The 26,898-nt window shown below is 35.6% G+C and overlaps 1 protein-coding gene across 4 annotated transcripts in view; it reads left to right on the plus strand.

The window, feature by feature from the left end:
• Positions 1-24,775, plus strand: part of CLDN16 (claudin 16) — a 121,778-nt gene extending 97,003 nt beyond the window's left edge. For 3 of the 4 annotated variants that reach the window (NM_001378492.1, NM_001378493.1, XM_047447333.1), the window contains 5 exons: positions 874-1,080; positions 14,974-15,076; positions 17,399-17,563; positions 20,951-21,142; positions 22,540-24,775. In NM_001378492.1, the coding sequence (NP_001365421.1) occupies positions 967-1,080; positions 14,974-15,076; positions 17,399-17,563; positions 20,951-21,142; positions 22,540-22,673 (708 nt within the window). In that variant the 5' untranslated portion in view covers positions 874-966 and the 3' untranslated portion in view covers positions 22,674-24,775. Of the gene's footprint in view, positions 1-799; positions 1,081-14,973; positions 15,077-17,398; positions 17,564-20,950; positions 21,143-22,539 lie in introns of those variants that run through there. The other variant, NM_006580.4, reaches the window with a different exon arrangement.

The raw sequence follows: 26,898 nt of genomic DNA on the forward strand, positions 1-26,898 counted from the left end.
TTTTTTTTCTTCATTAGACGCGTTTTCAAACATTGGTCCATGAGGGAAAAGTAATAATATAGGAAATTCTTAGTCATGTTAATATTTTCCATTTAGCTATTACTGACAGATGCTATTCTAAGCGACTTACAGGCACAATATCTTTTATTCCTCATATGAAGAACAAGCATTATATAAAGAAAATATTAATACATGCATTTTCAGAAACTACAGCCCAAGGGCTCTCAGACCATAAATTCAGAGCAAGAATTTCCACCCAGAGCTGTCTGCATTAAAATGCACACTTGTTCCCACTCTACGATGCTGAAAGGTTAGGAGCCTTGGCTGTCCCTACTGCCCAGGTGCTACAAGTCCTTCATGGGGCTGTTCTACGCAACACTTTGGAATGCAGACTCCCTTGAGCGAGCACTTGTTTAGCATAGTTTCACCAGTGGCCTGTCTGTCTAAAGTAGTCGGCGAATATTAAAATAGTCCTAACAATAAAATAACACTCAGTCAACCGTGTAGCCTTCTTCCGAGTGGGGAGGAGAATAGCTCACTCTCCCTAGAGGGCCTAAGAAAGATCAGTTTACAGGTTCCAGCATGGGGTGGGACCCTTCCTCCTTCCCCCGTCTTGGCACTGGCACTTGGTCTGGTGACCACCACTAGCCCACAGTTGGGTCAGAAAACGTTACAGAACTCCTCTCTCCCCCACCCGAAACACACTCAGCCCTTGCACTGACCTGCCTTCTGATTGGAGGCTGGTTGCTTCGGATAATGACCTCCAGGACCCCACTGTTGGTTACAGCCTGTTTGTATTATTCTTACTGCAACTCAAGACACCTGCAGCAGGGCGTGAGAAAAAGTAAAAGACCAGTATTTTCACATTGCCAGGTACCAGAAACACAGAAGACTGACACCCGCCACTTAAGTGGGGCCAGGGCTGGTGTCTGCCCATGTTGCCATCCTGATGGGCTGCTTGCCACAATGAGGGATCTTCTTCAATACATCGCTTGCTTCTTTGCCTTTTTCTCTGCTGGGTTTTTGATTGTGGCCACCTGGACTGACTGTTGGATGGTGAATGCTGATGACTCTCTGGAGGTAAGAAGATAGCAGCTTCTTTTCATGATCCAGGCCAGCCCAAATTTTCGCTAAGTCCCAACTGCCATGTACAACATTCAGTATCTTTACTAAGGCTAATGATACCAAAAATAGGCAACATGGACTATTTATTGAGTCTTTACATTATTAGCTCATTTAATCCTCATAGTTAATTTATGAGGTAGGTCTTGTTATCCCATTAAACAGATGAAGTTACTAAATAGTTCCTCCTTTTTTCACAAGGATAAATTTCCACAAGGGTAATTAAGTGATCTCTGCTACTGAGACCTCCAGAAATTCACGTCTTCCATTGCTGCATATATCATATTGAGTAACATTTCAGTACCACCCTTTTTTCTAAGATAAATTTTTTACTCTTGATGACAGCATTAAGAATAGTGTGATAGACTTTTTTTAAGGAGTGTTAATAATCTAAAACGTTGAGAAAGAAAATGCAAGGCATGCAAAACCTACCCAATTAACATGCAAGAGGAAAAAACATTATCTTAATGATTTCCAAGTAAAAGAAAAAATGTTGAGGGAGAAAATGTCTTTCCAGTGCATCCCAATGTACGGGGGACAGGCATGGATTTAAATCCTCCCTTAAAATGAGTTGCTCTAGGGAACTGACTACTATTCAAAAGATGAGTGAGTGGGTTCACATTTGAGGATTTTATTTTTCTCGCTGGAGAAGCTCAGAAAGAAGTAATTTTGAAGTTCAAAACCATTACCTGTGGCCATAGGAATCTGAGAGAGGCAGAACTGAGTAAAAAATCAAATCTTCAGAATTAGCTGCTGTTCATTAATGAGGCTTAGGAAAACACAGGTAAGAAAAAGAAACAATATTTCAAGAGCTCAAAAAAAGGAGTATATAGCAAAACAATTTGCTTTTTAATGTGCATCCTGAAGGGAACAATTTACCCTAGCAAATGCTATAATGTCACCTCTATAAAGTTTAAGAAAGATACTCGACTGAGTTTATATATTTTTCTTCTAATTTTCTTTATTAAACTCTCAAATTGGAGTTCCAAATGGAAAGTAATAATGATTCTATTTTGCTGTGCATTATTTTTGCTGCTCGCTTTTTCTTGCTTTTAATTTGCCTCTGACTTGAACATGGCATTTCAAAACCAATGGAGTTAGGAATACCTCTTTAATGCTAGAAAATTACATTTCCAAAAATTGTGATAGAATTGAACTACTGTAAAGGATGTCTGCTATAAGTGAGCCCAGTGATGCATTTTATCTGGCCATGAATATATGCAAAGAATGAAATAAATGCCCTTTGAACAGTGCTCAGGGAAAAGTGCAGATAAAACGTTCTGCTGTCATTAGTTTGCCATTATCTAGATGGCCAGTGGTAGGTGATGAATACAGAAATATGTTTAACTTGAGCATAATTATAATTATGTTTTTTAAAATACAAAAAAATGTAAAATCCCATCTAGGGGCATTGTTAAAATATTTTCTAAAACAATTTAAAAGTCTTTCTGCTTAAGCTGACATAATTGCTAACTTCATTTGATAAGAAATAGTTTTAGAAAGGGTCAAACCTTGCTGAGAGAGAGATTGAGAGTCCTGGAATTTAAAGTGTCTTCTTTCATTTTAGTATAACCAACCAATTTGCCATCTGTCCCATGAAAGAATACTTCTAGTTAAAACGAATGGAATGAGCAGTCCAGGTTACACACCTCAAGTAAACCCTTGCTAACCTTGAAAAATAGTTAATATTTCTTAGCTTCCTTCTTATTTCCCATACTTAAAATGTATTGCTATAATATTCCCAAGAAGCCTTCACATTTAAAGGAAGAGGCTGGGCATGGTGGCTTATGCCTGTAATCCCAATACTTTGGAAGGCCGAGGCGGGCAGATCACAGGTCAAGAGATTGAGACCATCCTGGCCGACATAGTGAAACCCCATCTCTAACAAAAATACAAAAATTAGCTGGGTGTGGTGGCAGGGGCCTGTAGTCCCAGCTACTAAGGAGGCTGAGGCAGGAGAATCGCTTGAACTAGGGAGGAGGAGGTTGCACTGAGCCGAGATTGTGCCACTGCACTCCAGCCTGGCGACAGAGCGAGACTCCATCTTAAAAAAGAAGAAGAAGAAGAAGAACCCTGTAACAAATCCGGCTCCCTTCTCTTTCAACAATCTCTTTAGTTGTCAATATTTTTAAAGAGACAATAATCTCTTATAATAATTGCTACTTCAACAGGCCAGGATAGAAACTTATATTTTCCACAAATTTGAAGGTTCTGATGCTAGCTCAATTGCTCTTCTCTTTTCTTGCCGCCATCCTCATTTATATATCACCTTTGGTCCATATAACAACTCACTTTATGTTTTTATTTTTATTTTTTTATAGATTTGGTCTCACGCTGTCACCCAGGATAGAGTGTACTGGTGTGATCATATCTCACTGCAGATTCAAACTTCTAGGCTCAAGTCATCCTCCCACCTCAGCCTCCCTAGTAGCTAGGCCTACAGGTGCATGTCCCCACAACTGGCTAATTTTAAAAATTTTTTGTAAGAACAAGGACTTTCTCTGTTCTCTAGGCTGGTCTCCAACTCCAGGCCTCAAGTGATCCTCTTGCCTCGGCCTCCTAAAGTACTGGGATTATAGGAGTGAACCACCACAGCAGCTCACTTTAATCCATTGTTGGACAAAAGTCAACGAAACAAGTGTTTTGTTTTGTTTTGATTTTTTAAGAAAAAAAAGGAATACCAATAGACAATTTAAATAAGAAGGAGTATTATACTTTTCCAGTTTTTTTTTTTTTTTTTAGTATATTTGGATGATGTTGGCACGGGATTTAGAAGAAGAGTTTTGTGGTTCAATTCAGTATAAAAATATATACAATTATATCATATAAAAGGAATGATGCTACTCCTACTAGAAGAGACAAAGATAAAGCAAAAATTGCTCCTGCCTCTCAGGAGTGCACATTTAATGAGGGGAAAACAAAGATACACATGAAACTATAATAAAAAGCATAAATAAATTCATATTTTGAGCAAGAAATAAACGAAGTATCATTGGGGAAGAAAATATGCGATGATTACTTCCTATCAGGGCCATCGAAGCAGGTCTCATGAAAGAAAAGGCATTTGAGCAAAGCCTTGAAACGATGTAAAGCATTTCAAATTGTAGAAATGGCAGCAGGGGCCTTTCAGATAAGGGGACAGAGTGGCAAAAGTGCAAAGAGAGGAGAAGCTCAGGGCTTGTTAGAGGACTAAAGTGGGCAACACAAAGAAGGAGGCAGAAAAAGCTCAGATATTCTTTTTGCCTACCACACTCTACCTATCTCAAATGAAGTTCTTCGTATTAGGTAAAAATGCTAGGAAAGAAAATAGCACACAGAATTACGATGTGCACAACCCTACATCAGTGACTAGAGGCCCTCAGCTACCATCCTGCTCTTGTCATTATTGATTCATTTGTGTCTCTGAGAAGACTGATAGGGAGAAGAGAATTTGGGTTTTGAGATTTTTCAAGCGTATGTTTGCATCTTAACCCTTATTAACTGCCTTCTATTAAGCAAGTCACATTTCTTGTCTTTGGCTCAGTTTTTTCAATTGTATAGTTGAACTCAGTTGTTTCTAAGGTCCTTTTCAGTCTTTTTTTTTTTTTTTTTAACATCATGTCTCCATGACTGTCTGAAACTTCAGAGAGTTGGACACTCACTAATGGACTGGTGGTGTCTGGCACTTCTCCAGACATTTCCATTGGGAATCTAGTGGAAGGATCCTCCATTTTTCTGTAGCTTCATACACTCTCCCTTCCTTCATTCCAACTTCTCTTTTTCCTTCATTTCCTTGTTCCTTCCTTCCTCTTCTTTATTCCCCCTCTCTCTTTTCCTCCCTTTTCTTAACTCTCTCTCTTTCCCTCCTATATCCTTCTTTTTCTTTCTTTCTCTTTCTTCTTCATCTCTTTACCCCTTCATTTCTCTCTCTTTTCTTTCTACCTTTTGTCATTTCACAAATAATCTCTGACAACTTCTGTATACTTGGCACCATGGTGGGTACATGGTTATGAAGTAGGATGAGACCTGGAGCCTCCCTAGGCTACTGCCAGTGTAGTGAGTGGGACAAATAGGTGAACCGACAGTTATAGCACCATGTAGCACACACTATGATAATGAAAACCCTAAGCGAGTGGCTCACTTGGTCTTGGATAACCAGTGAAAGCTACCCAAAAGAAGAGATATCTAAACTAGGACTTGAAGAACAGGTGAGTGAAGCAGGAGAAGTAGAGAGTATTCCAAGCTCAGGAAATGGCAGGAACTGAGGTCAAGGTACAAGAGCGTTGTATGTTTGCGGTATTTTGTATATTTCATCATAGTAAGAATTTCCAGTTTAGAGAAAAGAATACAGGGGTTGGGTCATTAAGAGTTTTGCATAACATGTAAAATATAGATCTTATACCATAGGCAAGGGTTTGTCGCTGTAAGCAATATGTACATGTATTTTAGAAAGATTAATCATTCTGGCTATCTGTGGGGAGAGATTGGAAGGGTAAAATGAGGTATGGGGAGAACAACTAGGAGACTTTTGTTATAGACCAGAAGGGAGACAATAGTGGTCTGTACTTCAGTGACAGCAAGCATGAAGAAATATGAAATAAGGGAGGCTCTAAAAATGTCAAATTGATGAGAGTTATAATTGACTGCATGTGGGGAAGTAGGTGATGAAGAGACACAGTCAAAGATGAAATCTGCCTTTCTGATCTGGGGCAATTGGAGGGGTGGTGATGTTACTCACCAAGAGTTTAAATGAATGAAAATTAGTATCTATACAGAAACCTTCATGGAGCAATGTCCCTGAACCATCCTACTATTTTTTTCTGCTTAGCTTATTATACAATACTTAGAGGTAGGAACACAATTCTTTACAATGGAGATGTTTATAGATTTAACTTTATATCAGAGGGACCTGAGGTTAAATCCCACCTTACCAGGCAGTGGCTGTATGAATTTAGACAGACTCTTAAATAGCTATAAACCACATTTCCTATTCAGTAATGAGAGAATAACAATACACACATCATAAGTTTCTTGTGAGAATTAAATGAGCTTGTGTATCTAAAGCATTTGCCACAGCAGCAGGCAGATATGAATCAGCCAATAAATATTAGATACATTATTGTCTATTTGCAGTTTATTGGTTTGTTTTTGTTCTGGAGAAGGAGATGACATTTTGCATAATGTTCGCTGAACAGAGAAATATAAGGTTTAAATTCTATTCCTATTTTTGGTATTGCTTCTCTTGGAGAAATTTTGTTTCCTCCTCTAAAGCTGTCATTTGCCTTTTTTTTTTTTTTTTTTTTTAAATCAGAATCTCTCTCTGTCGCCCAAGCTGGAGTGCAGTGGCATGATCTTGGCTCACTGCAGCCTCCACCTCCTGAGTTCAAGCGATTCTCCTGCCTCAGCCTCCTGAGTAGCCGGGACTACAGGCAAGCACCACCACACCCGGCTAATTTTTTTGTATTTTTTGTAGAGACGGGGTTTCACCATATTGGCCAGGCTCGTCTTGAACTCCTGACCTCAGGTGATCCGCCCACCTCATCCTCCCAAAGTGCTGGGATTACAGGTGTGAACCAGCATGGCTGGCCACCCATTTTTATATTTACATCTATTTCCTTTTTGTCTGACCAGGGAAATAAGACAGATAATAAGTCAAATAGTGAAGGTTATTTATCAAATGCTCACATTTACAAAGAAAATAAATTGAGATAATAGCATTGTTAATATGTTAACTACAAGATATGCAATTCTTAATTATTTACACTGAAATAGTTTCTTCACACAGTAGTTACTGATCTCTCAATTATAAAAAGGAAAAAGTGTTTTCACAAGAAGATTTCATTTTCAGTTCATCTTTGTTAATTATTTATTGAGAACCTGCTATGTACTGAGCACTAGTATGATTAAAATTTTATTACCTCAAAACAAAGTTGCTCACATTAGTATTTATTTTATCTGTATAATCAGGTTCTCTTCTGGGATTTCTATTTGCATTAATATTACAATTCTTTTAAATATAAAGTAAATATTAAAATTATTATATCCAGCATGCCCGTTGATTATATCCATTTTTAAACTTTCCAATTGATTTCAAACTCTTTCAGCAGATGTTTGAGGCTACAAATGTTCTCTTATTTATCTCATGATTTCCTAAGTACCTAGCACTGATGTACATTAATGTGAACTCATGATGCATTTGCTCACATGAGTTGATAGAGCGCCTAGTAACACACTTAGCATACCTGTTGAAAGAATGAATATATTAATGATATGAGGTGATTATTGAAAATCTCACATTGAACCTTAAATAAGAAGTATGTCTGTAATGAAATGATCATTTTTTTAAAGCAAGATTTCGTATCTTGCTACAATTTAAATATTTTCAGGATATGTATTTGGTTCATTTTTAAAAATAAAATTGGAATACAAATCTGATTCTTGGGATATCTAATAAGGTTGATGAAGAGTATATTCTGGACTAGAGAATGTGGCTTTTTGCTTAGTGCTTTAAAGAGAGAAATAAAGAAAACAGAGAGAAAAAAGAAATTGATAATTTGTAATAATTTACTCAACATAAATTGTGATCTTTATCACTGGGCAATAATCATTACAAAGTTGTAATGCCATACTTTTAAAAGGAAGACATTTTAACGTATGTAACCATTTAAAAATGTTAAAATGAAAATATTTAGAAAGTTCAGATATATAACGTAGGTCATATACCTGTGAAGAGCACAAAATTTTATTTTTCTACTAAGTTGGCATTACCCATTTCTTATGATTTATACCTTTAGCCAGTGCTCCACAAATAACCAGAACTAAAACAAATAAATTTTAGCAAATAAAGTCATGTTTTTCTTTCGTATCTTATAAATGTAAGATATAAAGTAAAAAGAAAAGGCAACATTGATTATGATTATTTTAGTCTTGCTCCCTCATCTTTATTAAGGCCTGTATTGACTCCATTTAGGCCCTGGGATAGTAAAAAATATAATATAAAATGTAAAGGTAAAATGTTCAGAGTCTTGGTTGGAAAATTTAAATGCATTTTATGTTAAAATTGAAAATGTTTCCAATTTTAGTAGTCAAACGTTATTTACTACAATATTATTAAAACTTTTGCGTCTTAATAAATATAAGTAAGTACTAAGTAGGTATCTAAGTAGGAAAGTCACATCTTCAAGGTTAAAATATATTAGCACATGGATAGTAAAGTGGTGTGAAAATTATAAATTCTTACAATTTGTATATGCAAGGTGGTTTTTTAAAATAATATATCTTAATAGCTTATTTTCTTTTAGTTGTCTGTACATTTATAATCTTAATGCATATTGACAAAAAATAATCTTGATAGCGGTTAACCAACAATAAACATTTACAAAATCTGCTGTGTATATTTACTCTCTCTCTCTCTCTGTAGATAGATACATAGATAGATAGATAGATAGACACACACACAGACATAATTTCCTATGTTACTAGAGAAGAGATAAATGCCGAACATTGTTGAATGTCTCTAATTCTCAAGTATTTTTTAGTGTTTCTAATTCTCAAAAGATACATAAAAAGACAAGGCAGGCAAAATTGTTGCTGCTTATATTTCAAGATTGATAACAAAAGAGAAACTGGGAAAAACTAGGTTAGAGAAGTCTTAATGGGAGACTGCTATAGAGTCCAGAATAAGAAATCCCAGGATTAAGGAACTAATTTATGTCACTGTAACTCAAGTTGGAAGAGTCATCATCTCTATGGTTTCCTAACACTTTTAAGTGACATCCTACTCATTTTTAGTACTGTGGTAAACACTTTCCAGAGCCAGTTGAGTAAACAAGGTCCAGAATGACACCAAATCAATGTAAGCTCTTCAGTCTAAATCATAATTTTTTGGCTTCTGGATTTAGCTGTTTTTGTTTATTTAGTCAAGTAGAAATTGCACTTATTAAGTAGCAACTGTGCATATAATAACCATTTTCTGCTCCAAACTTCCAATGAGAGTATATGAATTGATTGACAAATTGAGATTTTCTTATCCTCACTAAACATTTATTAAGCACCTATTATGTATCAAGAGTAAGAGACTGTATGCTCCTTGAAGCCAGCTGCCATGTTTGTCTTTATTATCGCTGTATCTCCAGCATTAATATAGTCGGCATGTTGACTAGTAAATGACAGGCATTTAATAAATATAGTTTGAAGAATAACAGATGACCTATAATTGCACATACAAAAGATAATGCAATATTTTAAATGCTATAATAATATGGACAAATTCCTGTGGGATTTCAGGATAGAAAGTGATAAATGCCAGCTAGAGAGACTTGGGTGGTGGGAGGCTAATGAAAAAACAGAAGTCTTTAAAATGGGGCTTGAATAATAAGTAGAAGTTTGACAGGTTGAGAGCAAGGAGTTATTCTCATTAGTATAATTAGTATATACCAGGAAGAGAAAACTCAAATGCCTTAAGGAACCAAGTAGCCAGCGTTCACGAGAGAGGCAGGTTGGGTAGGATCTGTGGGGAACCTGGTGAGCCTGAGCTCCACCTAAATGGGAGCAGCCACTCCTTTCTTGCCAGTTGTTGCTTTGTGAGACTGGTGAGTTCAGGTACCCAGAATGACCAAGTTTCTAAGGGAACCCTGAAATCTGAACTGTTCTGTAAAATCTCTACACATTTTTGGCAACTAATTAAGAGATTTTTTGCTTTCCTCATGCTTGTGACTTCTACTTTATTATTGTACCTTAAATAAACCTACCTCTCTCCATTTAGCAGGTAATCCACTCTTCACTTTTGGGAACAATAGATATTCATTGAAACAATACAAATTAGCATTGTTTTAACGTTATTTATCAATATATAAGTTGCATGTTAGAAGGAGAAATTTTAAATTTATAATCCTCTATTTCAGACAACTCTGTCAGATTAAAAGTTATTACTTAACATTTGCATTTTTTACCCTTTAAGAAAGGTTAACTATGATATTTGAAACATCAGTCTGCTTTTTTAAGAACCCTGTCTTAAAATTTTCAAGAATTTAGATTTGCTTGCTTTTTAGTTTCTAATAAGCCATTTTACAACAGAGGAATAAGTAAATGAAGATGATAAATCATACCAGAGAGCATTCCTAAATATAATAAAAAACATGAAAAATTGTAACCTTGTCTTTTGTGCACAAAGGCACCTTTAAGGGTGTCTCCAGTGAGTGCTACATTAACACAGAAGTTTAGTTAATTACAGCCACTATTCTCACGTACCTTAACTGAGTGTGAATACCAAGCCATCTAATAGTGTGCCCCTGAGCATTAATACCTAATGAAATTGGATTCCTTGTTTTCTCTAATGAGCTCATTGCTTTTCTAAATATGGTCATTGCAGGTAAATGATCAATAGCCTTGAAACTGATACCACTACTGAATTATTTTGGCAAGATGGAAATACTCTTATTTGTGTAAAATAAGAATTTTTGAATATGCATTTCAGATCACTTTCTAAATAATGTCATGTATGACAGGAATGACCATAGTAGGCTAGTTTGTTTCAGTGGCTGGCTTATACAGTAAGAAATTGTGGAGAGTCGCTGTCTGATTTACAGCACAGTGCCTTCAAACTTGTATCACCTAGCTTGAGCTAAAGTGAACTGGATGCAGCGTGTTCCTGTTCATTAAGACACTACAGGGCAGTCAGCTTTGAGAAGATCTGTTTTCTGTTATGATATAGCAGTTCTGTACAAACTGTCTCTAATATACTAATTTCCTATAGTTGCCGTAACAAATGACCATAAACTCGGTGGCTTAACAAAAGATAACTTTATTCTCTCACAGTTCTGGAGGCTGGAAGCTTATAATCAAGAAGTTGGCAAGGCTGCGCTGCCCCTGAAAGTTCTGGAAGAATCCGTTCTTAGCCTCTTCCAGCTTCTGGTGGCTGTAGGCATTCCTTGACTTGTAGCTTTATCCCTCCAATGTCTCTGCCTCAGAGGTCACATTGCATCTTTCTTTTGTCTGTTTCTCTCCTGCATGTGTCTCTTATAATGAAATTTGTCAGCCCACCTGTATAACCCAATATGATCTCAAGGTCCTCAGTTACATTTTCAAAGATCCTTTTTCCAAATAAGGTCATATACTGGTGGTAAGAATGTGGACATATCTTTCTGAGGGCCTCCATCTTTCTCCACCTTCACTGTGGTTAGTTAGTAAAGCCTAACACAGCCACTACTCAAGTCATTATGATGTTTAAGCACTTTACTACCACTATTTTTATTTATTGAGCATATCATTTATATTGCGTGTGTATTTGTAATTTTTAATTCTTATAACCATCCTATGATTATCTCCCGTATACAGATAAGGAGATTGAGGATCAAAAAAGGTAAGATCTTCCCCAAGGTTACAACATAGATAGTAAGAGTTTCAATCTATATTTAATATTTAATGCATATATAAATTTAATTTACGTGTAATGCACATATAAATTTAGACGTCCACATTATTTAGAAATTTATATGTTGAATTTCACAAGATAGCTGTTTATCATTAGATTTTTTGATCTCTGTGTTACACAGGATGAGATAATCCTCCAGAAAGTCCAAGAATTGTTTCCAACTTAAACCTAAGGAGGAGCATGCCAAGGTGAAGTTCGCAGAATAATAGCCTTGGGATGAGATCCAAGTTAGGGCTTACTTCACCCAAAGCTATCATCCAATACCCAATTCTGGATTACTTTATTTTAAAATGGATTTGGAATTCTTTTTAAAAAAATGTTTTTAGGCTGGGCACGGTGCCTCACGCCTGTAATCCCAGCACTTTGGGAGGCCGAGGTGGGCGGATCACCTGAGGTCAGGAGTTCGAGATCAGCCTGACCAACATGGGGAAACCCCGTCTCTACTAAAAATACTTAAAAAAAAAAAGTAGCCTGGCGTGGTGGCGCATGCCTGTAATCCCATCTACTCGGGAGGCTGAGGCAGGAGAATCGCTTGAACCCAGAAGGTGGAGGTTGCCGTGAGCCGATCGCGCCATTGCACTCCAGCCTGGGGAAAACAGCGAGACTCTGCCTCAAAAAAAATTGTTTTTAAACATTTGTAACTGTTTAAACAATTTTTTAGCACATATGCATCTTCTTAAATGGGGTACCTAGTGATGTTTTGATACATATAATGTATAGTGATCCCATTAGGGTAATTAGCATACCCATCATCTCAAACATTTATTTTTTGTTGGAAACATTAAATATCCTTTTTTCTAGCTATTTGAAATTATATCATTATTAACAATAGCCATCCTAGAGTGCTATAGAACAGGGGTCCACAACCCCCAGGCCACAGACCAGTACTAGTCCGTGGCCTGTTAGTAACTGGGCTGTGCAGTGGGAGGTGAGCAGTGAGCAAGTGAGCATTACCGCCTAATGGTGGACAGAAGCTCCACCTTCTGTCGGATCAGCGGCAGTATTCGATTCTCATAGGAGTGCAAACCCTGTTGTGAACTGCACATGCGAGGGTTCTGAGTTGCATGCTCCTTACAAGCACCTAATGCCTGATGATCTGAGCTGGAACAGTTTCATCCAAAAGCATCCCCAACCCCCTACCCACTGGTTCCATGGAAAAATTGTCTTGCACGAAACCGGTCCCTGGTGCCAAAAAGGTTGAAGACCACTGGTATAGAACACTGGAACTTATTCCTCTTATCTAGCTGCAATTTTGTATCTCTTAACAAATCTCTCCTTGTTCCTTGGCCCCTACCCTTCCCAGCCTTCAGTATCCTCTGTCTTATTTTTTACCTCGAGGTTTTTTTTTCTGTTTGTTTGTTTAGACGGAATCTCGCTCTGTCGCCAGGCTGCAGTGCAGTGGCGCGATCTCGGCTCACTGCAACATCCGACTCAGTGGTTCAAGCGATGCTCCTGCCTCCCGAGTGGCTGGGATTACAGGCACGCACCACCACGCCTAGCTAATTTTTGTATTTTTAGTAGAGACGGGGTTTCACCATGTTAGCCAGGATGATCCCGATCTCCTGACCTCTTGATCCGTCCGCCTCAGCCTCCCAAAGTGCTGGGATTACAGGCGTGAGCCACCGTGCCCGACCGAGATCAACTTCTTATAGCTTCCACATATGAGTAAAAATATGCAATGTTTAACTTTCTATTCCTGGCTTATTTCATTTAACATTATTCAGTTCCATCCATGCTGACTTAAATAAAAGAATTTCATTTTTTAAATTGTTAAATAGTATTCCATTGTGTAGATATACCATATTGTATTTACCCATTGCTCTGTGGTTGGATATCTAGGTTGATTCCATGTCTTGGCTATTGTGAATAGTGTCACAAAGAGCATGGAGGTGCGCACATACTGATTTCCTTTCCTTTGAATAAATGCCCAGTAGTGAGATTTGTTGGATCATAAAGAATGGGTTTTAAACACACTGCAATGCTCAGGAGCACACCCACACACTGCTGTGTTTGAGTCCTATCTCCTCCATTAACTATGCTTTCTTGGGGTTACTTAACTTTCCTGTGCCCCAATTTCCTCATTTGTAAAATGGATGATAAATAATATCTCTTAACGTCCCTTAAGAAATAAGAAAAATAATAATATGCTAAATAGTAACTGCTTTATGGTATAGACTCTGTATTGAATAATTATTACCAACTATAAGTATTTTACATATAAAGTAGTAATAGAGGTAAAACATTCAGAATCGCGATGAAGTTGCAAGCAGTAGAATTTTATTTGGCACATAACACGGCCTCAAAAAATAGCATGGGGCAGAGAGTTTCATAGTGCATGTATTCCTGAATATTATTTTATTTTCCAAAGCAAAGTGTTCTTATGTTTTTTTTTCTCCCCACAGCAATTTAACCCCCTCCTTTGCATTCCTCATCCCACCCTGCTCTGTTATTTATTCTTTCTTGGGGAAAAAATTAAGTTTTTATTTTCCAAGATAATTCATAGTTAAACTTTACTAAACTATTCCCAGATACAGAAGGTAATTTGAATCCATAACTGGGTCAGAGGAAACAATTGTATTAGCTCTGTTCCATATGCGTGAGCTCTATCAAGAACACCTGAAACTATTTTCTGTTGGCATGTTTACGATTCTAAGAAATCTATTGTGACTTACGGTTTGTAGATAAAGTATGAGAAGGTTCAGGGAACTGGTACCTTCTAGCTCTAAGTGGATTCTTAGAGTCATCTGCACATCATTTCCAAGTAAAAATGGATTACAGTCGTCAAGTTGTATGAAATTAATGCTCAATCTGCTTACATCCTTTACATAGCTTAAGCATTTATAATATATCATTGGAGCAATAAATAAGACTTGGGGCCTTTATATATTTTATTTATTGGCATCTTTTCATTTATTGGTTTTCTTTGCTAATTATTTTATATTTATAAACTTCATATATAAAGATAATATTTTTCTTCATGGAACTCAGTATTCGTGATAAAGAAACAATATATATTTTTAATAGACTCAAGGTGTCAACAGTTATCATCTATTGTTATATATATATATATTTTTTGGTGAGTAAATGTCAGCACAGTGACATGAAATGATGTTTTTCCATAACCATAACTCAATGGTGGAAGCAGCCACAGATATTTAAATATATTTAGCTCTGGTTTTATCTCTTCCAGACGTGACTTATTTCTCTACCCCCACCCTTCATGAGGAAGTGGATTCATTTCCTGGCCCAGAAAGGCTTCAATTGTCAGTGCTTAAGGGAAAATATTCTAATACGCATTGTTTGTTGTAAATGAAGTTCTGATCACATGTGTAACCACTTACTTTGCTATCAAACACAACCACCAACTTCTCTTTTTGATCAAGGGGAACTGAACTGTGCCTGCATGAATTGTTTCACACGGTGTCTTCTCTAACATCTAGGTGAGCACAAAATGCCGAGGCCTCTGGTGGGAATGCGTCACAAATGCTTTTGATGGGATTCGCACCTGTGATGAGTACGATTCCATACTTGCGGAGCATCCCTGTACGTATGCCTTAGAGCTCACTGCTTGCCAGGAAGGGAAAGGGACAGAAAACTGAGTTCAGGTTTCCATTTTGTGCTTTGTTTTCTATTGTACTATATTAAGGTTCGGTCCAGTTTGTAATGGTTAGAAATTGAGCTCATCTCGGAAATGTGAATTGAAATATATACTTCAGCACATTTTCTCTTTTCTCATATATTTGTAAATTCATTGAGGGAAAAATATTATCTTATTAATCTCTGCTGTCCCTCAGAGGGCCAGGCATAGTGCTTCATACTCAGCAGGCTTACAGTAAATGGTTTTTTAATCGAAATAAACTCTTTAGGGTGCTGTAATTTCATTATTAAACTGGACGGGTTAGGGGGAAAGCATTTCAGAGATGTTTTAAGCTATGACTTAGTTCAAATAGAAAGTTTACAGTTATTTCAGTTGAAGGTTAGCTAAGAAAGAGAGAGTGGCAGAGGCAGAAAGAGGCAGACAGCCAGAGAGAGAGACATAGACTATGGGGATCAGTGGAAGAAAAAACCAACACATGTGACGCACTGTTACAGGCAATATTGAAGCTGGCTCCCTTATCTTCCTTACTTTTAGCTTTAAATTATAGTTAAAGCCAGGTGCAGTGGCTCACACTTGTAATCCTAGCACTTTGGGAGGCCAAGGCGGGTGGATCACTGGAGGTCAGGAGTTCGAAACCAGCCTGGCCAACATGGTGAAACCCCATCCCTAATAAAATTACCAAAAAAAGTTAGCTCATCATGGTGGTGGGAGCCTGTAGTTCCAGCTAGTCAGGAGACTGAGGCAGGAGAATCACTTGAACCCAGAAGGCAGAGGTTACAGTGAGCCGAGATCACACCACTGCACTCCAGCCTGGGAGACAGAGCAAGACTTCATCTCAAAAATAAAATAATAAATAAATAAATTATAGTTACATGTCAGCAGAGCCCATGTTGCTATGAATAAAGAAATGTCTTAAATTTAAAAATCTTACTGTTGATTCTCTCAATCCTTCTCCATAGTGTTTATTTGTTTATTTATAAGAACATCGAACCCTGCTAAGAAACATCTGTTCTGTTATGAAAGCAAAGTGGTTTTAGTCTCTTTCAAAGCAAATGATGGGTGATGGCACCATAAGGCAACTTCTTTTCTCAAGATAAATAAAAAATTAAGCCCTTGGAATGTGACTTTTCCCCTGAACCTCTATTTCAGTCCAGAGGAAAGCACTTAAAAACAGCAGCACTCTAAAATTCTTCATCTGCTATTTAAAAGTTGGGTGCGTGGAACATTTTTAAAAACATAGTTCATAAGGTCTTTGTTTTATTTTTGTTAAAAAGGATTTTCTTAATTCTTTTTCTTTTCCCCTCTCTGTGCTAACCTAGTTCTACCTACAAAGAAACACTATTTGCTGAATAGGAATGGACATTTTGTCTATTCTAAAAATTCATTAAAATGGATTTTAATTCATAAGCTGATAAGAAAATGAAAAATTAAAAAAAATTTAAAACTTTTAAATACTGTTATATACATTTATGCAAGAAGAAAATATAATCACTCATAAGCTCACTACGTAGAGAAAACCACTGTTTATATTTAATATGTTCCTTTTTCATCTTTGACCTATGTAACCTATTAACATATGGGGGTAGAGAAATAAGTCACGTCTGGAAGAGATAAAACCCATATGGCCTAATATGTAATATTGGCCAAGAAGAGTCATGATTTAAATAGCTGAAAGAGAAAATGATCTAATTTCCAGAAATTACCTTCTACTTAATAGCACAAACTAACTCTCCTTCTTCTAAAGATCTCCTTATGGCTTCTTCTATCCTGAACTGGCAAAAAGAAGTCTTGAAATATTTTATTCTGCTTCCCTGTGTCAAATTTTAGCCAATTATTATTTTTAAATAAAAAAAAATTAAAGTGATTATTTATTCAATATTTATTAAGAAATTTTTGTAGGACAGATATGCTACCTTCGATTCAGCAATCGGCTACAATATTTGTGAATGAGACATTTTCCAGAGTAGGAGGCAAAAAGGAAAACATTTATTTAGTTTCCACTATCTACCAGGATGCTCTCTGCTAGCATACCAACAACAAAACTAAGTAGTGAACTGTGGTTAAACAAGCAATAATGTCAATAATCTCATATTTTTTAGTTTTATGAAAACATTAGGGGTACTTATGTTCAAGTTCATACAAAGTCTGACTTTTACCGGAGGGGTGTGTTAATGTTACCTACTTGTCTGTTTTTTTTGCTATGTCTCTGTGAGTTAATATGGTTCCTTCTTCTGACTCTGCTTTAACCATATGCCCTGGTCTTCCAGTGAAGCTGGTGGTAACTCGAGCGTTGATGATTACTGCAGATATTCTAGCTGGGTTTGGATTTCTCACCCTGCTCCTTGGTCTTGACTGCGTGAAATTCCTCCCTGATGAGCCGTACATTAAAGTCCGCATCTGCTTTGTTGCTGGAGCCACGTTACTAATAGCAGGTACCGGTCTGGCTGGACTAGCAACAGGGGTAGGGAGACTCTGCTAAGGGCTTGAGGTGAAGGAGAGAGTTGTGCTGAAGCTGCTCATTTTCGGATTATATGTGGCTTCCCTTTCTAGATTGAAAAACTAAAGGTCACTTCTACCAGCCCTGCATACTTTAGCTTTGAAGTCAGCTAATTAGTCTTTTGTTAATATCTCAGAACAAAATATGAAGCTCTCAGGCCGGGTGTGGTGGCTTATGCCTATATTCCCAGCACTTTGGGAGGCCAAGGCAGGCAGATCACTTGAGGCCAGGAGTTTGAAACCAGCTGGCCATCATGGTGAAACCCTATCCCCACTAAAAATACAAATCCAGGCATGGTGGTGCACACCTGTAGTCCCAGCTACTCGGCGGGGCTGAGGCAGGAGAATCGCTCGAACCCAGGAGGCGGAGGTTGCAGTGAGCAGAGATCGCGCCACTGCACTCCAGCCTGGGCAACAGAGCAAGACTCCGTCTCACGGAAAAAAAAAAAAAAAAAAAGGAAATAAAGAAAAAAAAAAGCTCTAAAACTATGTTTTGGCCATTTAAAAAGTTACATAACTTCAATTTTTAAAATAATTTATCTTGTGATTATTACTGAAGTTAAAATCCTAAAGTAAGCCCCAAACTTCTACCTCCTTACCTATACCCACCACCACCAACTCCACCAATTCTTTTTAACAATAAACTAACAATTGTGCCAAGTCCTATGTTAAACTTGTCCCACGTACTAACCCATTTGTTCATAAATGTAACAATAAACAGATCATATTGTTATCCTCACTTAAGATGCAGATAAATAATTGAAGTTCTGAGGACTGGTCAAGCATATTTATTAGTCAAGCATGACTAATAAACAACATATCAAAAAGCACTTTAAGTAGTATTTATTAGTGAAACAGCAAAAATGATACTTTATTCAGGTCTGTCTTCAACTTCAAAGCTTAGTCCTCTTCTTTTGCAACATAATGTCTTCTTCTTGTCTGTTAGCAGGAAAAATCTTGTCTGCTAACAAAGCGAATATAAGTGGCAGCCTGACCAGGCAGTGTGGGGTAGTACATCGATATGGAGTTTGGAACTAGAAACACTTGTAGATATGTATGTGTGATATATTCACCCGTGTCTCTGTTTCCTGATCTGCAAAGAGGCATGAGGCTAAGGTAGTAACATGTAGCCTGAATTGCTATGGTGAAGATGCAATGTGGGCACAGCAAACTGTTAGCTGACTGCCTAACCCTTTGTATGCTCAGAACTTGGGCCTCCCTGACTTTTGACACAGAAATGTTAAGTCAACGTCCTAATAATCCTCAGATTGTATTATAAAGTTACAAAAATTTAGAATTCTTCCCTTCTGTAAGTCATTTATTTAATTATCCCACCTACTGACAGCATAGAACTTTTTAATATACAATGTAATTCATTTAACAGATTTAAACATTATTTAATCTAATTATTTACGGCTATATAATTTTGTTCGAGAATATTTTTGAGCTATCATCAGTAAATAACCCATCTTATGTAAAACAACAAAACAAATAGCATTTAAAAAATAAGTCACTGAAGAAAATCCTGATAGGAATGACTGAAGAAATAACTAAATTGAAAGACAAAGCATGTCCTAAGCTTTGGAAACTTTAGAATTAGTGTGCTATAAAATTTATTTTTAAAGTCTATAATCTGTTTTGAAGGTTTAGAAAGGGAATTTCTAACTGAAAACTGCAGATAATGGCATTATAGCAATGCTATTGCAATATATACTGCGTTTTCTAAAGGTTATGTGTTTATTATCTGGCTTTTTTTTTTTTTTTTTTTTGAGATGGAGTCTCGCTCTGTCGCCCAGGCTGGAGTGCAGTGGCGTGATCTCGGCTCACTGCAAGCTCCACCTCCTGGGTTCACGCCATTCTCCTGCCTCAGCCTCCCAAGTAGCTGGGACTACAGGCGCCCACCACCACGCCTGGCTACTTTTTGTATTTTTAGTAGAGAAGGGGTTTCACCATGTTGGCCAGGATGGTCTCAATCTCTTGACCTCGTGATCCGCCCGCCTCGGCCCCCCAAAGCGCTGGGATTACAGGTGTGAGCCAATGTGCCCGGCCTATCTGCTCCTTCTTAAAGTTCTTACATTAAACAATTAGGAGAAGAATACAGTTAAATAGTGATTTAAATAGATATCACAGACTATCTAGGGAAAAAAATGTAAAATTTTTTGGAGACTACATATTTTATTTTATTTTTTTAGATTTGGGAAAGACAAATATTTCTCTCATTAGACAGTAAAACAACTCTGGAAAGTAATCTGAAGAGATTGTTTGTGAACACATGCATCTAACTTAGCACAGAGTAGCAGAACTTTGAAATGAAGGAAAAGTAGGATCCAGTTATTTGGGTGTTGGTGGGCAAGATCTTAACACTAACGTTGATACAGCTTCAGGATATCAGTAAGCATACATTTACAAGTAAATAACTGAAAATCCAACTCAAGCAGACTTAGACAACATATAGATTACTGATTTCTTGTAATTGCCTTCTGCTAGGCATTGAGCATGTGGAGAGTACATATTTTAAAAACACTCTTTTAATTCAGTGTTTTGTCCTCCAACTCACCACATTTCTTATTGCATCTAGGCTTCAACATGCAATTTATACCTTTAAAATAACAGGACACTAGTGGCGTCATTTCAAACCAGTTAATTGTCAGAGAGGCTAAGCTGTGGAGATGTATTTAAAGGGAATAACATTTCTTGGTCCATTCTTATATGGTGTGAGGGTAGTAGATAAAGATTTATTTGAAAATAAAAACATTTTTTACTTCAATTATTTGTGTTTGACCTCAAGACACTGAAATCAGTGACTTTAAAAACAGTTTTCACATGGGTGCTGATTACGTAGCTGGCATAGCTTCAAAAGGGGGTACAGGGAGCATTAAATACAATGATATTTACTCACAATTTAAAAATCATTACAGAATGAACATATGCTCTATGTTGTTTGTGTTAGACTACATTCTTTTTCTGTTTTGTTTGGTTTTGTTTTAGTATTTTCCTTTATACAATACTAACATGGCATTGGAAAGACAGGAGAATCAAAGAAAACCATAACGATGAATTTCGATTTACACAGATAAGCACTGTGTTATTTCATTTTTGCATTTTCTTTATGTATAAACTGAGATAAAATTTAAAAAAGATACAAGATGGAAGGCAAAAGGAAGAGACAGAAGAAGTGTCCGAAGTTCGGGTTGCCCATGAATCCATGTTACTGTTTTTACCTCTCTGAATCACGCCAGCCATTTTGTGTAGTAAGCAGGTATTTTTGGATTTAAATTCAGAAAATGTCCCCTATTATTTGTAGCATCCTCCCTTTCTTTCAGGTACCCCAGGAATCATTGGCTCTGTGTGGTATGCTGTTGATGTGTATGTGGAACGTTCTACTTTGGTTTTGCACAATATATTTCTTGGTATCCAATATAAATTTGGTTGGTCCTGTTGGCTCGGAATGGCTGGGTCTCTGGGTTGCTTTTTGGCTGGAGCTGTTCTCACCTGCTGCTTATATCTTTTTAAAGGTAAGAATAAAATAAAATAGCAAATTTCCTTGCCTCCACTATCGTTTTTCCCAATCCAGTGGAAACAAATTTCAAAAGGAAAAAAATGTTATTTATTTGAATTCCTACCTATTGCCATTAAAAATTCCAATTGTTCAAGGGCAATTGAATTGTAATACTCAAACATTATTACCCAGTTAGTTCTATATTAATTGAAAAATAAAATCCACAACTACAAGCATGTCCAATATTCAAATGTATAATAGTTATCTTGATGTATTACAATTATACATATATACATATATACACACATATACATACCGTATATATACTATATATGTATATATACTATATACATATATATACACATATAGTATATATACTATATATACATACTGTATATATACCCTTGTATATATACGTATACATAGTACATATGTATACACATATACACATATGTATATGCATATATGTATATGTATACATATATGTATAATTGTAATACATCAAAATAACTATTGTACATTTGAATATTGGACATAGTTGTAGTTGTGGATTTTTTCAATTAATGTAACACTAACTTGGTAATAATGTTTGAGTATTGTAATTCAGTTGCCCTTGAACAATTGGAATTTTTAATGGTAATTGGAATTTTTAATGGTAACAGGTAGGAATACACCCATGTATATGCATGTATATATACACACACGTATATGCATGTATATATGCACACACGTATATGCATGTATATATGCACACACGTATATGCATGTATATATGCACACATGTATATGTATGTATATATGCACACATGTATATGTATGTATATATGCACACATGTATATGTATATTAGAATTATACATATATGTGTGTCTATATATACAATTATACCTTTATAATTGTATGCATATATGTAGATATACATATAATTGTAATACATTAAAATAACTATTATACATTTGAATATTGGACATGGTTGTAGTTGTGAATTTTCTATATATATATATTTTGATGTATTACAATTATACATGCATATATATCTTCACCCACTCAACTAAATGTATATTTAGTGTTAAACTGAGAAGTGGACTAAGATCCAGCCAAATACTTCTTTTTAAAGAATTTAACATGTTATGTTGGGTTTCTAAAAATATCACCTAAAAAACTAAGGGAATACCTCTCCTGATGAAGAAAAAAAAAATAACAGGAAATCTACTTGGCTGAATTTTAAACCTAAAAGAAACTTTCAGAATGAAAATCTTAAATTGTCTTCTAGGATTCTTCTTAGAGTTCCAAAATGATACCTTCTTTGAGTATCTATATTCTTGTTCCTTTTGAGGAAGAACATATAAAATGGTATTTTATAATTTTCCCAAGTTCACTGAGTTCTACTTATTTTTATATTTCTTTCAAACAGATGTTGGACCTGAGAGAAACTATCCTTATTCCTTGAGGAAAGCCTATTCAGCCGCGGGTGTTTCCATGGCCAAGTCATACTCAGCCCCTCGCACAGAGACGGCCAAAATGTATGCTGTAGACACAAGGGTGTAAAATGCACGTTTCAGGGTGTGTTTGCATATGATTTAATCAATCAGTATGGTTACATTGATAAAATAGTAAGTCAATCCAGGAACAGTTATTTAGAATTCATATTGAATTAAATTAATTGCTAGCTTAATCAAAATGTTTGATTCTCCTATACTTTTTCTTTCTATTACTCTTATATTTTCCCGTCATTCTCTCTGCTAACCTTCCACCTTATGCACACACTTTCCCTATATTTTAAGATAAGTCTGCTAGGATGTAGAAATATTTGTTTGTGATTTCTATATAGCTATTAGAGATTATGACATAGTAATATTAAAATGAAATGATACTTAAACAGAAAGCAATTTCCAAAGAGGCCAGGGACCCTAATCTTTGAAGAGATGAAGAAACTTACTTTTCTCCCTGGCTTTTGGTTCACTTTTTGTACTTTTAACAAGTGGGTGAATTATTTGATAATTTTGAGGAAGATTATTCTTTTAAATTCAAACTAGTATGTCAATGCCTACCATTACTCTGATTATATTAAAACAGAAAAAGGAAATAACAACTTCGTATACCAGCCACTGGTGAGAGTTAAAGACAAGAGCTGCCCCCCCACCCCCAAATGTCAAAGGCAAATGCTAAATTGATACTGGAGCTCGTGGTGACTTTCTACCTCACTAACAACATAAGGGATCTCCATATTATTTCACCACTATTCTAGCTTTGCTGATATATTGCCAAATGATTAGACTACAGAATAGTTCAACCAGAGAATTTACTCATTTATTGATTAAACATCCAAATACTATTGTAATATACTATGTTAAAATTCATCAATTCAAGTGCCCACACACCACTGAATCATCAGCACCAAGCAATATATTAGACATATGGCAAAATTCAACAAATATATTTTGATATAAATAAATAAACGTTCACGACTTTACTTAAAAAATCAATGTTGCGGCTGGGCACGGTAGCTCGCGTCTGTAATCCCCGCACTTTGGGAGGCCAAGGCGGGTGGATCACGAGGTCAAGAGACGGAGACCATCCTGGCTAACATGGTGAAACCCTGTCTCTACTAAAAATACAAAAATTAGCCGGGCGTGGTGGCGGTGCCTGTAGTCCCAGCTACTCGGGAGGCTGAGGCAGGAGAATCGTTTGAACCCAGGAGGTGGAGGTTGCAGTGAGCGGAGATCGCACCATTGCACTCCAGTCTGGCAACAGAGCGAGACTCCATCTCAAAAAACAAAAATAAATAAATAAATAAATATTCTTCATAAAATGTGGGTTTTGGGGAAAATATAGAATTACATATACATTTAACGAAGTCGCTAATGACATTTCATTCATATTCATAATGTAACCATCTTGAATTTTTTTAATTGTAGCGATTTTAAAAATGTTTGTAAAATTTAATTTCCAGTTTTCTAATTACTTGTCAGTCACATTAATAACATTAGTACCTTTATGGTACCCTTGCAGTACCTGAAAAGAATATCAACCTGAAAAGAATATCAACTCACCCAGAAATTAGTTCTTTGAAAAAAAAGAAATTAAGTTGTGAATTTCTAAAGACCTTGAAATAAGTGTTTCAAATTTAAAGAACAAAGAATGATGTGAAAATGAGATTATGATTCCTACTACATGAATTAACGTTTCGAGATTGCTGTTTATTACTTCCCAGAGTATCTTTAACAGTATTCTCTGAAGCAGTTCCAATCTAGTTGGAGAATTAACAGCAATTGATTTAACTATCTCATTTTTATTAACTGTAATTTACTTTAAAAATATTTGCAAATCATACTCATTAGTTATTTGATCATTGTTCTATGCATTTTAAAATTAATTTTGTGTTGTTCCTCTCAATATTTGTTTTTAACATTTATTCCCATTTTTATTTTATACTATTGTCTGTCATGCTTTATGTATTCCAATAAGTGTCTTGAAATCCTTGTGGGGAAAGGCAGGACAAAAATAATTAGTTAATTAGATTTGAAAAATGTAATTTTTCCATTTTAAATATTTCATTTGTATAAGAAAATATTTCAGAGAACCATGATGATAATGGATATGTGTGACTGTTTTGAATTTTTTTCTCAATTAAAACATTTTGTATGTAATGGGAGGAATGTCAAGATTTGTTTTTTTAATTTATTTGAAACATTCATTTCTAATTCATTGTAATTTAATGACGCTTCCCAAAATAAAGCATAAAGAAGACTATGTTTTGTATGGCAACTAGTGAACAACAAAACAAATATTAAATGATGAAGCTGTAATTATTGACAGGTTGTGATGTAACAGGGCAAGAAAGAAAAAAGTGATATAATCCAAAGGCATATACAGGTAAGATTATTAGATTGAAACATTAAAATAGCTCACTAAATACTGGGTACTACTATTTAGGCATGGCTACTAATTGCAATATAAGAAAAGAAAAAATTTTAAAAATTGGACAATGCTATTTATCCACCCCTTCATTAACTACTTTCTAAGATCAAATTTTTAAATTAAAATTACCTTTCATTATTATAAAATCTGTATATGTGCATTGTAAAATCTTTGTGTAAAAAACACAAAGATTCAAAAATATATCTTATTTAAATACCAAGGCAACATTATCACCAAATTCTCTCTACCTGGGACATCACTACTCCTAAAACTTTATTGAATCTCTACACAGCCTCCCACATATTCTCTATTTATGCACATACCCATAAAGACACATTCATATAAATATGTATCTCTTTTTGAAGAGATCATTTCATATGTTGCTTTATATTTACGTTTTTTCTTATTTAACTACCTCTGATTTATGGTAAGCAATACATTTCACATCTAATACCTAGTCTATGTTTAAATTTCTTCAAACATTTAAAAACATTCTGCACAGCTACTTTGTCAAAACAAGGATCTGCCTTTCATTTTGTTAAGTCCCTTAAGTCTCTCTTAATCAAGTTACACTTTTTTCCCACTGATCTTGACTTGTTAAAACAGCAGGACCAGTTTTTGTACGCTTTGTTCCACCTTCTGGATTTGTCTGGGGATGTCATGTAGCTTAATTTCTCAATGCCTTGTATTTTCAGTAATGGAAGTTTAAATCTAAAGACTAGATGGAATCAAGCTAAATAGTTTGTAGAATACAACATAGATGATGTGACAGCATACCTGGAGACCTAATACGTGGTTAATTTACTCTTAGTTTAAATGCTAAAATTGTTCACTGGATTAGAAAGTTGGTGAGCTTACCCCTCAATATTTCTGTGGGTGTGTGTATGTATATATACACACACAGAGAATATATATACATATATATATGGAATATATATAAATCGATATATATATAATATATGGATATATAATATATAGATTTAATATGGATTAATAGGTGGAGTTTATATATCCAGGGTTGCATTGAGTGTCTGCAGCTTTTCCAGGCACATGGGTGCAAGCTGTCAGTGGATCTACCATTTCAAATGGCAGTATTTTATATATTCATATATTAATCCATAGTAAAGAAATACATATATATATTTCATTAATAAAAACAAGTAATCAATGTAGTGTTATTGTGAAACTATGGGAATACCATATTCCTCATCAACCGTATACATGATAGTTTTAACAATTGATAATTCTTATCTGAGCTAATGCTTTCATAAAGATTTGTAGAAAGAGAACTTTCTAATTCTATTGCATCTGCATCTTTCGTAGAAATTCTTCTGTAAAAAAGCCTTTGCCCCTTCATTGGAGTCTGTTCAAGTTAGCCTGAAAGGATAGGATGAATATTCAGTTCTTTCCCTCTATTCGCCAATTTACTAATACAAACTAAGGAGCTTGTTTTTTAGTGATATGATATATAATTTATTTTCCAAATCGGTACACTTTTGAGAACAAAAGTGAGCGCCATTAATCATGAAGTCAGGATGTTCCTCAGAGAGCAAGGCCATATGGTCTCTCTCTTAAAGAGTTATGTGTACAATTTTTTAGTAGTTTTCCATTTCTGACTCTTATTATAGAATTATAGATTTTCTTTAATTCAATGTTTAATCCACTCTAATCATTATTGTTTTGATACTCAAATTATTAAATGTTTGATCAATAGAGACTGCTTAAGCTAGCTCCTATGTGTTCTTGACACAGGCCTATTAATATATTTTTCAGTAATCTTAATGTTGAAGTGTATGTAGAAAATTACAAGTTTATAGCTAGATAGATTCTTACAATGTGAATATACCTATAC

Source organism: Homo sapiens, chromosome 3, assembly GCF_000001405.40.
Source record: "Homo sapiens chromosome 3, GRCh38.p14 Primary Assembly".
In the NCBI taxonomy this organism is placed as follows: domain Eukaryota; kingdom Metazoa; phylum Chordata; class Mammalia; order Primates; family Hominidae; genus Homo; species Homo sapiens.